This window comes from Homo sapiens, chromosome 13 (genome assembly GCF_000001405.40).
Source record: "Homo sapiens chromosome 13, GRCh38.p14 Primary Assembly".
NCBI classification, from domain to species: domain Eukaryota; kingdom Metazoa; phylum Chordata; class Mammalia; order Primates; family Hominidae; genus Homo; species Homo sapiens.
Genome location: NC_000013.11, coordinates 34,905,916 through 34,920,944, shown reverse-complemented (window position 1 = coordinate 34,920,944; position 15,029 = coordinate 34,905,916). Strand labels below are relative to the sequence as shown.

The 15,029-nt window shown below is 39.9% G+C and overlaps 1 annotated feature.

Moving 5' to 3' along the window:
- Positions 5,930-6,603: an enhancer, noted in NCBI's record as "OCT4-NANOG hESC enhancer chr13:35488479-35489152 (GRCh37/hg19 assembly coordinates)". NCBI's record gives its function as "activates a minimal SCP1, AML or CMV promoter by ChIP-STARR-seq in naive and primed H9 embryonic stem cells {active_cell/tissue: H9 hESC(naive and primed)}" and the evidence as "EXISTENCE:reporter gene assay evidence [ECO:0000049][PMID:30033119]".

The window sequence follows — 15,029 nt, the reverse complement described above, 5'->3', positions numbered from 1 at the left end:
TGTCATGGAAGGTAGAGCACATGCCATCTGAACCTCTAACTCCAAAGAACATGGAGTAAAACATTTCAAGTGTTTGGTATAAGACGCTTGCTTTTTGCTACTTTTAGTAAAGGCTCCAAGAGAGGAACTCAAGCTGGAGCTAAATAACATAAAACAGGGCAGGAAAGGACTATAACTACACGAAGAAGACTCTCTGCCTGTGGCTTGAGATTGAAGTTGGCTAAAGTCTGGGAGGAGCTTCACAGTAAGCCTGTCAACTGCTTCCCCACACTGAAGCAGCTGTAAGAAGTGACTCTGAAGAGCCTGCCCTAGCAGGAGATAAAATTGTGGTCCCAAGCCAAGGCAGCCAAACAATGAGTATCCCTAATCTGAAAATCTTAAATCTGAAATACTTCAAAATCTGAAACTTTTTGAGCCCTTACATGATGCTCAAAGGAAATGTTCATTGGAGCATTTCAGATTTCAGATTTTCAAATTAAGGATACTCAACTTGTAAGTATAATGCAAATATTCCAAAATCTGAAAAATATCCAAAATCCAAAATGCTTCTGGTCCCATGCATTTTTGATAACGGATACTCAACAAGTATTTTAAAAGATCAAAATAAAGATCAGAGAATATGGATATTTAAACTTATGTTTTTTTAATATGGAACAGTTGAGGCCATTTAAAAAATGTCTAAGACATAGGCAGTGGAAGGTCGAACTCAAGAAAAAGTCTCAGAGCTGAGGAAATGAAGAACCTATGGGGTTAAGGTGTTAGATGAGTCAACCACATGAATGTGAAAGGGAAGCCAAATGAGAAAATGATGTCACTTGGATGGAGAGGAAGTTCTGGAATAAATGTGGCAGTTGTCAGAAGACATTATAGTTAAATGGATAGACAGTAAAGAAGGGGCTTTTATGTTAAAATAGAGGAATAGTGGTTGGGAATAGGAAATATGGAGCTAAAATTGTGCCAATGCACTTCTGTTAAATAAATTCTATGATACCTTAGCATTTGGGAAAATGACCAGCCTTCAGTTGAGCATATGTCAAGGGAAGCAATGTCCCCATAGAGATAGCTGAATGTTAATTAAAGCAAAGAAATGGAGTGGATGTCCTCTAATGAGGTTTCCAGACATCACAGTGAAAATATTTGGGAGGGAAGGAAGTTTGACTCAGAAGTAAAACACAGAGCAGTATGGAGATAAGACACTGGAGAGCATAAATGAGTTGAGTTTTCAAAAAAATAGAACAAAATTTTTTGAAGTCAGTTGCCTATTATCTTCCCTTATAGTTCTTAGGGAGCTATAACTAGAGGCCTCCAAAGAACTTAGCTTTCTCCATAGGGTACAGAATAAGTTTATCTCAAAGATCTTCTCCTTTCAGAGTTGATTATTTGACTTAGGGCCAAAGACTGAATGTAAATAGTAGGAAAACTCCTCTGATATTATTGTAAGGAATAAAATAATTTTACTCTGTAAATAAAATAGAATCTTTTCTAGAGAGAACTGACCCAAACTCAATTTTAGGACTGGTCCTAAAATTCAGAAATGCCTTTCCCATATTGCTTAACTGTGCCTTTTTCACTGGAAATAAAAGTGCTGCCTTCAGGGAGCACACCTCCCCAGAGATCAGTAAAATCAATGAGAAATTCAATGTCCATTTGTCAGTAAAGACATGTGAAGTTTGATGGGTTTCTTGGGACTGGACAACTCGTGAAAGATTCTAACACAAAATTAAGTGGAGCATAGAAACCAAAAATCTCAAGAGATATTTGAAGGATGAAACGTGAAAGATGAGGACAAATTTAGAGAACTGTTGCTGGCATAGATGTTAACTTCCAGAGTTAGGTGGGCATAGACTATCATACAAAACAAGAAAGACAGAAGAGAATATTAGCACCCTGTTGCAAAGGAGAATAGGGATGCTCAACTGGTAAGTATAATGCAAATATTCCAAAATCTGAAAAAAATCCAAAGTCCAAAATACCTCTGGTTCCATGCATTTTGGTTAAGGGATACTCAACAGGTATTTTAAAAGATCAAAATAAGGATCAGAGAATGTGGATATTGAAGCTTATGAGCAAAGGAGAATAAGAAAAAATGTTGGAGGACTTTTAAAAATGTATAAATGAATTAATGAATGCAATTAGTATTATTGCAATTAGTATTATTTTCTAAGTCAATCATTAATAGCCACTTGCCATGATTGCCAACCCCTTTGATGACTACTAATTTCAAAATTATTAAGGAAAGGCAAATATTTAGACTCATACAGATTAAAAGAAAATATTTTCAAAATTTCAAATTTAAGTTTATAAATGTTCTAAACTACTTTTGAATATGTATTCGTGACCCAAGATTGGTTTTTCCAGACCCTATCATTCTAATGACTTTTTTTTTTTTTTTTTTGAGAGACAGAGTCACACTCTGTCGCTCAGGCTGGAGTGCAGTGGTGCGACCTCAGCTCACTGCAACCTCCGCCTTGCCTCCCGGGTTCAAGTGATTCTCCTGCCTCAGCCTCCCACGTAGCTGGGGATTACAGGCAGCCACCACCACACCCGGCTAATTTTTGTAGTTTTAGTAGAGACGAGGTTTCACTATGTTGGCCAGGCTGGTCTTGAACTCCTGACTTCAAGTGATCCACCCACCTTGGCTTTCCAAAGACCTGGGATTACAGGCCTGAGCCACCACACCCAGCCTTCTAATGACTTTTTGATACTACTTCCCAATAGCTACTATGCGCTGGAATGCACATGTACTCACAGTGGTTCCTCTTAGATTCCCATGTGTTTCAGAGTCCTCTTTTTCTTTAATCTCACCCATAGGTAATAAACTATAGCCCTCTTTTGTTAGACTCATTAAAGGAGAAATACTACTTAAATACTACTTACTTAAAGTAGAAGACCGACTTAAAGGTAATCCTTTCGTCACAGTAAATGGGCTCACCCCATCAAGTCTAAAGTACTAAGAAATTTAACACAGTTTAAAAGTGGTAACACAGTTTGAGTCCAGACTTAACTAGGCAATTTACCAACTGTGCAGACAGGGTGTTACAGAGTCTTGGTCACATTTCTTGAGGCAGCAACAATTGTACTGCATATGGTTCCTTCAGATGTTCTATCTATTTTCCTGCTAATGTAGAGGAGATTCATGAACCTGCCATAATGGCATACTTATTTTTTGTTCCTGCTCATGGGTGATACTAAAGAAGATAAAATCTCCAACAAAGAGATGTTAGAAAGAATCCAGTCTATCATCACTGAAGTTGTAATCACTGCAACTCAGCTGTGAAAACAAAGGGCTGCAGGATTCTTGAGTGTATGCCTCAGGATTCACTAAAGTGGAAAACTGCAGGTAGAGAGAAAAACCCATGAGGATGTGAAAACTACCACAAAGGTCTTTATTTCTCAATGCATAAATCCAAATTAGAGCAAATCCAAAGGTTTTTGTAAATGTTCATGGCAACGTATCTGTCCCTTGGGGATGACCTGCTTCATTTATTAGTCAACAAATATTTATTGAGGGCCAACTTCTAGGCAGTAGGGATCTAGCAGAGCATGAGACAGAGGAGTTCTCTGCTCTTACAGACCTAACTTTGTGTGGGAGCAGACAGACAGTAGTGATACGTGCAATGAAGAAAGCAGAGCAGGGTGATAAGGTAAAGGGCTCTGAGTTGGGATGGCATTCCTTCTGATTGGAATGCCTCTCTGAAGAGATCGTATGAAAATAAGGAATAACAATGGAAAGATCTGAAGTAACATTCCAGGCAGAGGAACTTCTGTCTACAATCACAATCTAAAATGGGAGTTAGTGTGGCTGCTTTAGGAACAAGAAAGAACCCAATGACTGGGGAATATTGAGTAGATACTAAACTACCACTTGCCAATTGCCTTAAATATCATATGAATTACCAAATTTCTCAGAATATTCTATCAATCATTTAACAAAAATATTCATTAATTTCACTTCAATAAGTATTATTTAAGCTATGCTAACTACTGGGGATGTAAAGATGAACAAGTCATGATCTAGGACTTCATGTATAACAAAAGAGATGAAAACAGCAATAAAAAATATGATAAGTACTTTATCAGAAGTGGTATAAAATGTGTTGAGAACAACAATTACATATAACTCTGTTCATTTGGGTCAGTAAAAGAGAACATTTGGGTTGGACCATGAAGAATAAATAGAAGCTTAGTGTCAGAAAAGGAAATAAATGACCTAGACTTCTTTACTGAACGCCTGGTGCATACAACAATTGCCTCGCCTCCTGGGGATCTTCATCTGGATACCCCACCCCATCTAGATTTAACTGATGCCAAAAAGAAATCTTCTTGCACCGAACATGTTTCTCATCCTATATTCTGCATTTTAGTCAGGAGTCCCACTCTGAAAACTGATTATTAACTTGACTCCCTCCTCTCCCTAGCTTCTATGTCCACTTCATCATCAAATATTGCTGATTCTACCCTTAGATAGCGGATCAACCTTTCTCCCCTTCGCTATACTTTCCCTTCATAATCTTCCAGATGGAGTCATCTTTCTTTCTGGTATGCACCTCATATCTCCAAACCAAATTTCAAGTCAAGACGCCCAAAAATCCTATTTATGGTCACGTTTGATCAACAAGCACATATGGACTTAAGATATAGGGCATGTGGGTTCTTCCACTTATCTTCCAAGGCCTGTTTCTGCTGACCCTGTTCTTGATTCTTCATCTCTCTGAAGGAGGAAAGGAAATGAGGGGTCAGAGAAAGGGTCACTCTTTAGGTCACAGTTTTCTACTGAACAGGATTACTATAGCATTAAGAAGCTCTATACTTAGAGCTGGGAAGCTCAGCCTTATTTGTCTTCTTTACATTCTGTCTGCTGCGTCTGTCTCTAGGATGTAGACTAGATAGGGACTGGATCTTGCAGGAGATCACAGTCAGATTTCTCTCTTTTTCTATTTTGGATTCCTTATATATTTGTCCCTTGGCTAATAAACTAAAACAAATAGATAAATTAAACTAAGGCTTACCCTAGCTACTTAGTGGTAGTTCTTTCCTTCTTTAACTTTCTTCCTCAGTCTAGCCACTTGGAAAGGTCTGTATTTATGAGGATGGAGGGGTGGACAGGAGGTTAGGGTGGGGCTGAGTAGGGGTCAACAGCTCAGCATAGGTCACCAAATATAAACCTTAGTCTCCAATAAAAAATTTAAAAAAATGCTCTCCTTGATGTATCAAGCATTTGTTCAGCCATTAATGAAGTGATATTTTCCTTCCCATTCTATATCTCTTTCTGTTCAGAACTTTCTGCAATCTGGGGGATGGGATGTGGGAGGAAGCAGGCTGATAATGGATAAAGACAATTTGTAAAATGCTTGTGAAGCTCTTGTAAGGAAAACAGCATCCTAAGCAGGCAGGGGAGCTAGGGCTGGATTTCTGCATTCCTGGACCACAGCAATAAATCCAATATTATATCAACAAGCTCCTCTTGATCCCTAATTTGTAAAAACACTGTACAAAGCACTATACTGGACTGTAAGTGAAAGAATTTTGGTCCATTCTGCTGAAGCACTTGGGCCTATTTGATAAGTCTACAAATAAAGACATCAAAAGAAAATATTTCTCAATGAAGAGGACTATTAGCATTTTGGATGAGAAAATTACTTTGCTAGAGTATCCCAAGAACTGTATGATTTTTAGCATTTGGCATCCCCCACCCACACTAAATGCTGGTGACATCCCTCAGACATTGCGACAACCAAAACTATGACTCCTTCCTGTTTCTATAGAGATTGTACCACACAGGGTTGAGAACCACTGAAAGGAGGGAAGCAACCGTGAATCTACATTATGCTTCTAGATAAGATTTGGAAACACTACCAAATAGAAAAGTAAAGCCAGGAATGCAGAGAAATGCAGAATCAAATTTACCAATTTTAGGAAAAGCAGAAGTCAATGGATAGAGGTAGAGAAGATTCATAGGCTTAAACAGAGCAAGATAAAATGAACCACTTACTAATACATAAGAGAAGTGAAGAGACTTAAATATGCCTAAGCTTTTCTTCTTCAACCTGCCCCAGATTCACAGGTAAACCCTGTTCGATTAGCATTCTAGTTTCCACAATCAGGGTTCACTGGCATTTTGCAAGTAGTATCTGTCCCCTCTGAACTTGTATTTTTATCCTCTACCTCTTGTATCTGAAAAAAGTAGGTGGGAATAAAGCAAAGAATCTAGATTTGTGGCTCCTTGCTGAAACAGTGATGTGAGCCCTATGTAAAAGCATGAATGAAAAAGCCATTCAGGTCAATTAGAATTTTAAGACTTTCTTATGTTAACAACTCTGTTTCTTGAGCATGGCTGCATTCTTCTGCATCCCTGCCCCCTCCTGTGGCATGCTCCCATCTACATATCTTTTTTCCTCCCTCTCATTTCCTGTCCCGACTAATTCTCCAAGCTTCAGCTTTGGGACCATTTCTTACAAAAGCCCGTTCAAGCTCTCATGCTTCTTCTTCTTCTTTTGTTCTTGAAGCACTTTATTTTATAGTTTTTACTTGTGGTACACTAACCCCCCATGGACTAGAAACTCCTGGAAAGTAAGCCTGATGTCTTATTCATTATATTTACTTTCATACTTGCAATTACCTGCTACTTTAGAGATTCTCAGTTGCTGTGCTGATAACCTTCAGGGGTATGCTACCAACTTTTCAATGATGTGAAAACTTTATTTTACTATATAACTAAGAATATACATTGTTACAGTAATGTCTGCATATGACACACAGAGTCGAGTGGATAGTAGTAAACAGTATACAGCGAAGTATAATTTGCTGCACCTAAGAGGCTTGGCATTCCTAAAATTATATTTTTAAAAAGATCTTAATAATAGCTGAAAGAAAAAAACGGCCATTTAAGACAAAAATGGACTGCAATTGCTTTTGCAATGGCAAAATTCATATCTAGGGTGGATGGATATTTTATTTTAAAAAGTACCTTGATAGGTTAGACTGAGAAAACAAGGAAAGATAAATTGTTCTGTCAAAGAAAGACTGATTGGCAGCATTTCATGGGGCACAGTGAGTTGTGGGGCCGGGGTAAGGATGCAGGAAGTGAGTGGAGAGGAGATATGGGGCTGCAGGGAGCTGAACCAAGTAGATGGACTTGAGCAAGAGACACAAGCAAGACTGGGACCTGGAGCAAGACCAGAGAAAACTCCCATGGAAGTATTTACGTTTATGTTTTATTCTCTTGGTTTATGGAAATAATCATAATTAGTATCCAACTTTGAGTTTTTTTTCCTTATTTATTATATCCTCAATTACATAAAGCCTTCAAAAAAGTTTGCTACACACAGCAGCCTTTTTCAGAGCAAGGCTTGGAGAATAAAAGAGCAGAGCTGATACCCTATGTGGGACAAACTGTACAGCAAAATAATAGTGATCATAGGGTTAGTGTTACTGTTCTGGTGATATGGCTGTTGGCTTTCAGCCCCATTCCTATCCTCTCATGCTCTCCTTTAAATCACAGGAGATTGAAAGGCTGCAAATGGTATTTGCTAGATTGCCTTGCCTGAGAGCTTAGGGTTAAGCATAAGCAGTGCCCCGAGGGAGGCATTAGGTAGGATGTTAGGGGAAGGGTGGAAAGAGGAAGAGGCCATTTTTTTCCGCCCTGCTTGTGGCAGCACCTTGGACAGTAGCAGTGGCAAATGAGCAAGTGTAGGCTCCTGGGTATCCTGGTCAGGCAGTTTCAGCAAAAGAACTGGCAGCATAGCACTTACAGGTTCCGGCTTCAGTAGCAGCAGCAGCAACAAAAGTAGGCATCTTCTGGCCTCTGTGCTCCTGTGGTGTCAGTGACAACGCAGGTGCAAAACTTAACCACAGAGTACAGCAACACAGTTGCAACAGCGGCAGTGGCTGCTCTGGCAGCCTCGGCATCCACTCTAGGTAACTTTATTTCCCCTTTTTTCCCCTCCATCCCTAGGTAACTGTGTCTTTCCATTTTTGTTCTTTTAGCCATGCCAACAGTTTTCTGACACATTCCTTGCATTAAGTACCCTCTGTTAGAAAATGTGATGGTTAAATTTGTGTTAACTTTACTAGGTTATAGGGTGCCCAGATATGGTCAAACATTATTTTGGGTGTTTCTGGAAGGGTGTTTTTGGATGAAATTAACATTTGAATTGCTGGACTGAGTAAAGAAAATTGTACTCCCCGATGTACGTTTAGTTGAAACCCGTCTCTACTAAAAATAAAAGAATTAGCCGGGTGTGGTGGCAGGTGCCTGTAATCCCAGCTGCTCGTAAGGCTCAGTTAGGAGAATCACTTGAACCTGGTAGGTGGAGGTTGTAGTGAGCCAGTATTGAGCCACTGCACTTCAGCCTGGGTGGCAGTGAGACTCTGTCTAAAAAAAAAAAAAAGAAAAAGAAAAAATTGAAACTTTAAAACAGAAACAAAACACCAACTAACAGACAACTGTAGCTTTTAACTACATAACTGAGCATCAAACTAAAAAGGATTATTCTCCAGCCTGAAGATCTCATGGAATTTGCCTTGCTAGGTTTTAAACTTTCTTCGGACCTGTCACCACTTTCTTTTGTCTGATTTCTCCCTTTTGGAATGGGAATGTCTATCCTATGCTTGTCCCACCACTGTATGCTCTTGAAAACACATAACCTGCCTGGTTTCACAGGTTTATGGCTGCAGAGGAATTTTGCAGCCAGATAAAGCATACCTCCAATCTCACCAATATCTGATTTAGATGATGTTTAGATGGAACTTTGGACTTTGGAGTTGATGCTGGAATGAATTAGGGCCTTTGGGGTTGTTGGGATGGAATTGATGTATTTTACATGTGAGAACATGAATTTTGGAGGGCTGCAGAAGAAATGCTATGGACTGAATTGGGTCCCTTCCCCCCACCCAAATTCATATGTTGAAGCCCTGTGCCCAATGTGACTGTGTGAGGAGGTGATAAAGATAAAACAAGGTCACAAGGGTGGGGCTGTAGTCCAACAGCGTTGGTGTCCTAAAAGAAGAGACAACAGAGTGTCTGCCAGGTGAGGACGCAGAGAGAAGGTAAGACCAAGGCATCTTGTTCTTGAATTTTTTAGAGTCTAAAACTGTGAGATATAAATAAAATAGATAATAAATAAATCTCTGTTCCTTAAGTCACCCTGTCTGTGACATTTTGTTATAGTAGTTCAAGCTGACAAATACAGAACCCTAGACTGTTTTCTGCTTTTAACTGGATAACAACTAACATGGAAGCCACAAATAATGGTTCATGGTCAAACCACAGTGGGAAAGCAGCTGCAACATCTGAGAAAATGTGCACCTCTGAAAGGTGCAAGAAAATACTGATGGAGGAGAAGGGAGGGTGCTGGTATCCCAGAGAGTGTAAAGAGGAGGAGCTGTTTTATTTGGGTATTATAAAAAACAAGACATCAAATTTTAGAAAATTTTGGGATATCTGGATTATGTGTGTTTACTATAACATAAAATAACCCTTATGTCTGAGTATATAAAAGAGGATTGTCAAGGAAGAGACTATTTCTTCTTCTTCAACAAGGCCTCAGTGTAAAAGTGTAAACAACTAAATAGTGTGCTGACTGGACACTTTCACAGACACTATGAGCCATGATTTTCTGGGATTTCAGTGTAATTAGTGCTGACGTGTGTGGCACATTTAATCTCTCCAAGTTGTTGCTCAGAAGAGTTGGTTTTCAAGGTACACTTGGAAATATAAGAAGGCCGAGAGCCATAGTTTACATAGTAGACCTCCAATAAACATTTGTTCAATGACTTCTTAACCTTGTATAATCTTCGAGAAATATTTCAAGCATAACATCACTATCTTTTTCTGTGATCTAAAGAATGTTTCAATTAAGCCTCTGTTCAACTGACATTTATGGTGGACAGTAATATAAAATTATATCACTATGATAAATAAAAGGAAACATAAAATGTTATTAATTACAGCATATCTGTGGCATCAACTTGGATAGTTATAAATGTTCATCTTAAAACTGGGATTAATAGTCAAAAGGAACATTTGAATTGAACCGAAAGTAGTATAGGTTATTGTTTTGATTGAATGAGCTAAATTGAGACCATTATAAAACCAAAATAAATTATTTTTTAAAAAATTGAGTTTAGGGCCAGGCGTGGTGGCTCACACCTGTAATCCTGGCACCTTGGGAGGCTGAGGCGGGTGGATCACTTCAGGTCAGGAGTTTGAGAGCAACCTGGCTAACATAGTGAAACTCCGTCTCTACTAAAATACAAAAATTAGCCGGGTTTGGTGGCAGGTGCCTGTAATCCCAGTTACTTGTTAAGCTCAGGCAGGAGAATCACTTGAACCTGGGAGGTGGAGGTTGCACTCCAGCCACTGCACTCCAGCCTGGGTGACAGAGTGAGACTCCATCTCAAAAAAAAAAAAAAAATTGAAAGTTTAAAACAGAAACAAAACACCAACTAACACAACGGTAGTTTTTAGAGCCTATTAATTAATGACACAATACATCAAAAGAGTTCTGTGAAACTAGAGGAAAAGAAATATGAAACTGCTTTATGTAAGCTATTAAAATGACTTGCTATATAATCCTTCATACTTAGAAAATATAATTTTATTTGTGGACCTTCAAATAGTATAATAAATAACTCATGCTGTTTTTTTTCTATTGTCAGTATTTCCTGGAATATCACTTTTTTCTGACATATTTTTATTGCAATATAATTTAACATATCATAAAAATAACACTTTTAAAATGTACAATTCAGTAGATTTTAGTATATTCAAAGGGTTATGCACCCATCACCACTATTTAATTTCAGAACATTTTTATCAGCCCCAAAGAAACCCATACTCATTAGAAATCACTCCCTGTTCCCCAGCCCCTGATCCACTCACTGACTATGGGTTTGCTTATTCTGGACATTTCATACACATGAAGCATATGGGTTTTTTTGTCTGGCTTCCTTCACTTAGCATGTTGTATCATGTATCAAGATTTTAGTTCTTTTGTTGTCAGGCTGCCTTTTTATTAGTGATATTAGTTCAGTATTTCAGCTACTAGTTTAATTATGAAAAGCTTCTGGGTGCTTTTCCAGTCAAATCCCCTCATATAGTAGGCCATCAGCTTACCCCTACCAGTAGAGGCTGGATTCCCACTTGATGTTATTTAAGGAGTTCCAAGCAACTCTCCCATAAAATTTATTTTTTATTTTTTTATTTTTTCTGTATTTAATTTTTTTTTTAGAAACTGAGTCTTCCTCTGTGGCCCAGACTGGAGTGCAATGGCATGATCATTGCTCACTGTAGCCTTGAACTACTGGCCTCAAGTGATCCTCCTGCTTTGGCCTCCCAAAGTGCTGGGATTATAGGCATGCGCCACTGTGCCTGGGCAGAAAAAAATTATTCTTCCTATCTTCTCACACTACACCCTTTCCTCCTATTATATTTCCTTAAAACTCATCACTAAAATTCATCCTATTATCTTTACAAGTTCCTTGTTTGAAAGGGTAAATATACGCTTTAGAAGTATAAATGAATTGTAATAAATTTTCAGCTGACTAGCTTAGTTTCATCGCTGACAGTAAACTAATAGTGCCTAATTTCACAATTTACAAATAGGGACTTTAAATAGAGGAAGAAATGAGATAATAATTTTGAAGTAAGGTGCTTTTTGAAGCAAAGGTGTGCTAGAGTCTCTGAGCACCTGATGCAATCTTTTAATTCACCCAGCAGTCATTTACTGAATCCCTGGTTCAACATTGACAAGCCCTTTCGTTGGAACTCAGACAAAGTTGTATTCTGCCTTTAAGGAATCCACAGTCTTGTATAGGAGACAAACATGTAATCAAGCCCAATGCAGAGTTATTGAGTGTTGGGATAAATGTATTAATGAAGAGTTACAAAAACATGGAAAATTAAACCCCGACTGGAGCAAGAAGATCAAGGAAGAGTTTCTGGAAGAAGTGATGTGAGAAGGGTCTTTAAAACTAAGTACCTGTTAGCTAGATGAAGAAAGAGGGGGAAAGTATTACACACAGAGGAAGCAGGACCATAAGTAAGCCCAGGAGGATGAACTCACAGGCAATATTCAGAAATGTCAAGTAGACCAGTATGGTGGCCGAAGGGAAGGGAAGAGAAGGGAGGTGAGATTTTAAAATGGTAATAAAGATAGCTACTATCAAAAACAGATTGCTGGCTGGGTGCAGTGGCTCATGCCTGTAATCCCAGCACTTTGGGAGGCCTAGGCTGGTGGATCACTTGAGCTCAGGAGTTCTGGAGCAGCTTGGGCAACACAGTGAAAGCCCATATCTACAAAAAAAAGGAAAGAAGGAGGGAAGGAAGGAAGGGAAGGAGGGAGAGAGGGAGGGAGGGAAGGAAGGAAGGAAGAGAGGGAGGGAAGGAAAAAGGGAGGGAGGGAAGAAAGAGAGAGAAAGAGAGAAAGAGAGAAAGAAAGAGAAAGAAAGAAAGAAAGAAAGAAAGAAAGAAAGAAAGAAAGAAACAAACAAACAAACAAACAAACAAACATTGATTAGCTGGGCATGGTGGCATGCTCCTGTAGTCCCAGCTACTTGAGAGGCTGAGGCAAAGAGGTTGCAGTGAGCTGAGATCATGTCACTGTACTCCAGCCTTGGTGACAGAGTAAGACCCTGTCTAAAAAATAAACAAACAAAGAAGCAAAAAAACAGATTGCTTACTACGTGCCTAAGTACTTTATATGCCTTAGTTCATTCTGTGCTGACAATGATCTTATCACACGTGCTATCTTATCTCTATTTTACACATGGAGGAAACTGAGGCATAGTAAGGTTAAGTAACTTGTCTACACTCTCACAACTAGTACTGTGGAGTGTGATGCCAAAGTATTAATGATGGGCTTAGTGTGCCTAGCTGAGGAGTTTGACCTTTATCCTGAATGTGACGGAATCCTGAAAGGTTTTAAGCAGGAAGGTAACCTGACACGAGCAGATTTACAGTTAAAAAATCACTCTGGTAGAGGTTGGGTAGGAGAAAGGGCTTGTGTAGTCTAGAGGCTGAGAGAACAATAATCCTGGCAAAAAGCAATGAGGGCCTAAACCAAGACCATGGCAGTGCAATAGAAGGGAAGAAAAGAGCCCAAACATGTACATTTAGGAAGTAAAATCAGACTCTTAGGCAATGAGGATAGAAGAGGCAGACAGAATGGCTAGAATACTAGGTCCTTGGATGAATGTGCCTTCAACTAGGGGAATACAGAGGGAAGAAGGGCTTATAATCCATGTTAAGTATAAAGTGCCTAGGCAAGTTTCAGGCAGAAACTTTTTTCCATAAAGTCATCATTTCTCTTCAAATAAAGAACACATTATGTGGGTCCAGAACCCGGGGATGATGTCTGAGCTCAGTAGAAGGAGCTGGAGGCATTGGGTCATACACAGTGGTAGTTGAAGGAAAACAGAGGCTTCCATGTGGTCACCTAATGAGAACTATATGGATGGAAGAGCACAGTGCAAAAAGCAGGTCCTCAGCAGTGGCAGCACCATCACTGAGGGGAAATTGGAAGAGCCTGCATGCATGAGACAGAAAGATGCTCAGGGAAGGAGATGATACTTAGGCAAGAATGATGTCACTAACACTAAAGTGAGAGTTTTAAAGAGGGAGTGGGCAGCACATTGTGCCACACTGTAGTTCAATAAGGCCAGGACATAGTCATTGAATTTCACAATTTGAGGATAAATTATGACTTTATGGAAAGGAGTTTCAGGGACTAGAGTCAGACTGCAGCAAAGAGTGAATGTGATGGGAGGAAGTAGGGGAAGTGAGCATAGAACCATTCTTGAGGCTTGGCTGTGAAAGGAAGGAGAGTCAGGAGAGGACACTAAAAGGAGGAAAAGAGAGCATTTGAGTGAGAAGATTTATTCTGACCACATGTCTACACACGAGAAACATTCTAAAGCATCATTTTTAGTTTTGCAGCTGTAGGCAGATAAGTAAGAAAATGACACACAATTTCTAGAGTTTGCTGAGCAATAGAATCTGCAGAATCCTCTGTCGCCTTTGGAGCAAGAAGGACCCTGAGGAGATAGCAATATGAGGCAAGAGAAGGCAAAGATCACCTTCAGCTTCCTCTGGAGCCAAGCTCAGCTGGGGGAAATTTCTAGGTTTCCTGTAGGCTTGGAATTAACTAGGGAACTAGGTAGCTGAGGTCCTTGCTGGCTTGTCAGCCATCTCACAAGAAGTTTCTCAGTGGGGACAAGACCTCATGTCCTAAGCCTGTGAGGTAGACCTTGGAGGATTTAGCATGTAAGGATCACCTTATTGGATTACCCAAACCTGGAAGCCGCCCTAAGCCTTTCGAGGCTGTTATCCACCACCTACCAGACCACTCCAAATAGCTGGTAGTGATAAAACACCAGAGCCAGAGACTAGACTAGGGAAGGACTCTAGCTACCAGCAAGACCCACCTGAGGAAGCCACCTTACAGCCACCATGCAGCCGGTCAGGTGACGCATCTCCATTCCGTCCTGCTGCTTAGTGCAGGGTGTTTTAATCACCTCCTATTTACCCTTTGATGCTTTAGAGTTACTGGGATAGCCAAACACATGACTCCCAACACTGGGCAGAGGAGGTGTTGTAACTTTATTAGTTACATGTCCTCATAACCTGGGGAAGGAGAACACAGCACGCCATGCAGGGTCACATGAGAGTTCCACTCGAAAACTGAGTGAACGAGCCAGGGCTGGGAAAGGCAGACTGTAGTATCAAGAGGGTGAGGTGACTCCTGATTTCTGTGAGAGGATGTGATTGGTTTGTGTGAATAATTCCTTAGGTAGGCTGGGAACTGAAACCCACTACTTAGGGATAAGCAGAAACTGTGCCTGGTCCACTGGCTAAGGAGAATTTTTGGACTGGGGGACTTTAACCATGGGAGCAGGAGGTGAACTTGGGATCAGGCCATTTGAGGTCCTGCTGATTTTTCCAGATGTCAAGGCAGCACATAGTATTGGGTCTTAATTTTAGGTCTTCCACTGCACAGGTGTTGGGCCAGAGGCCTCTCAGAGGCCTCCTG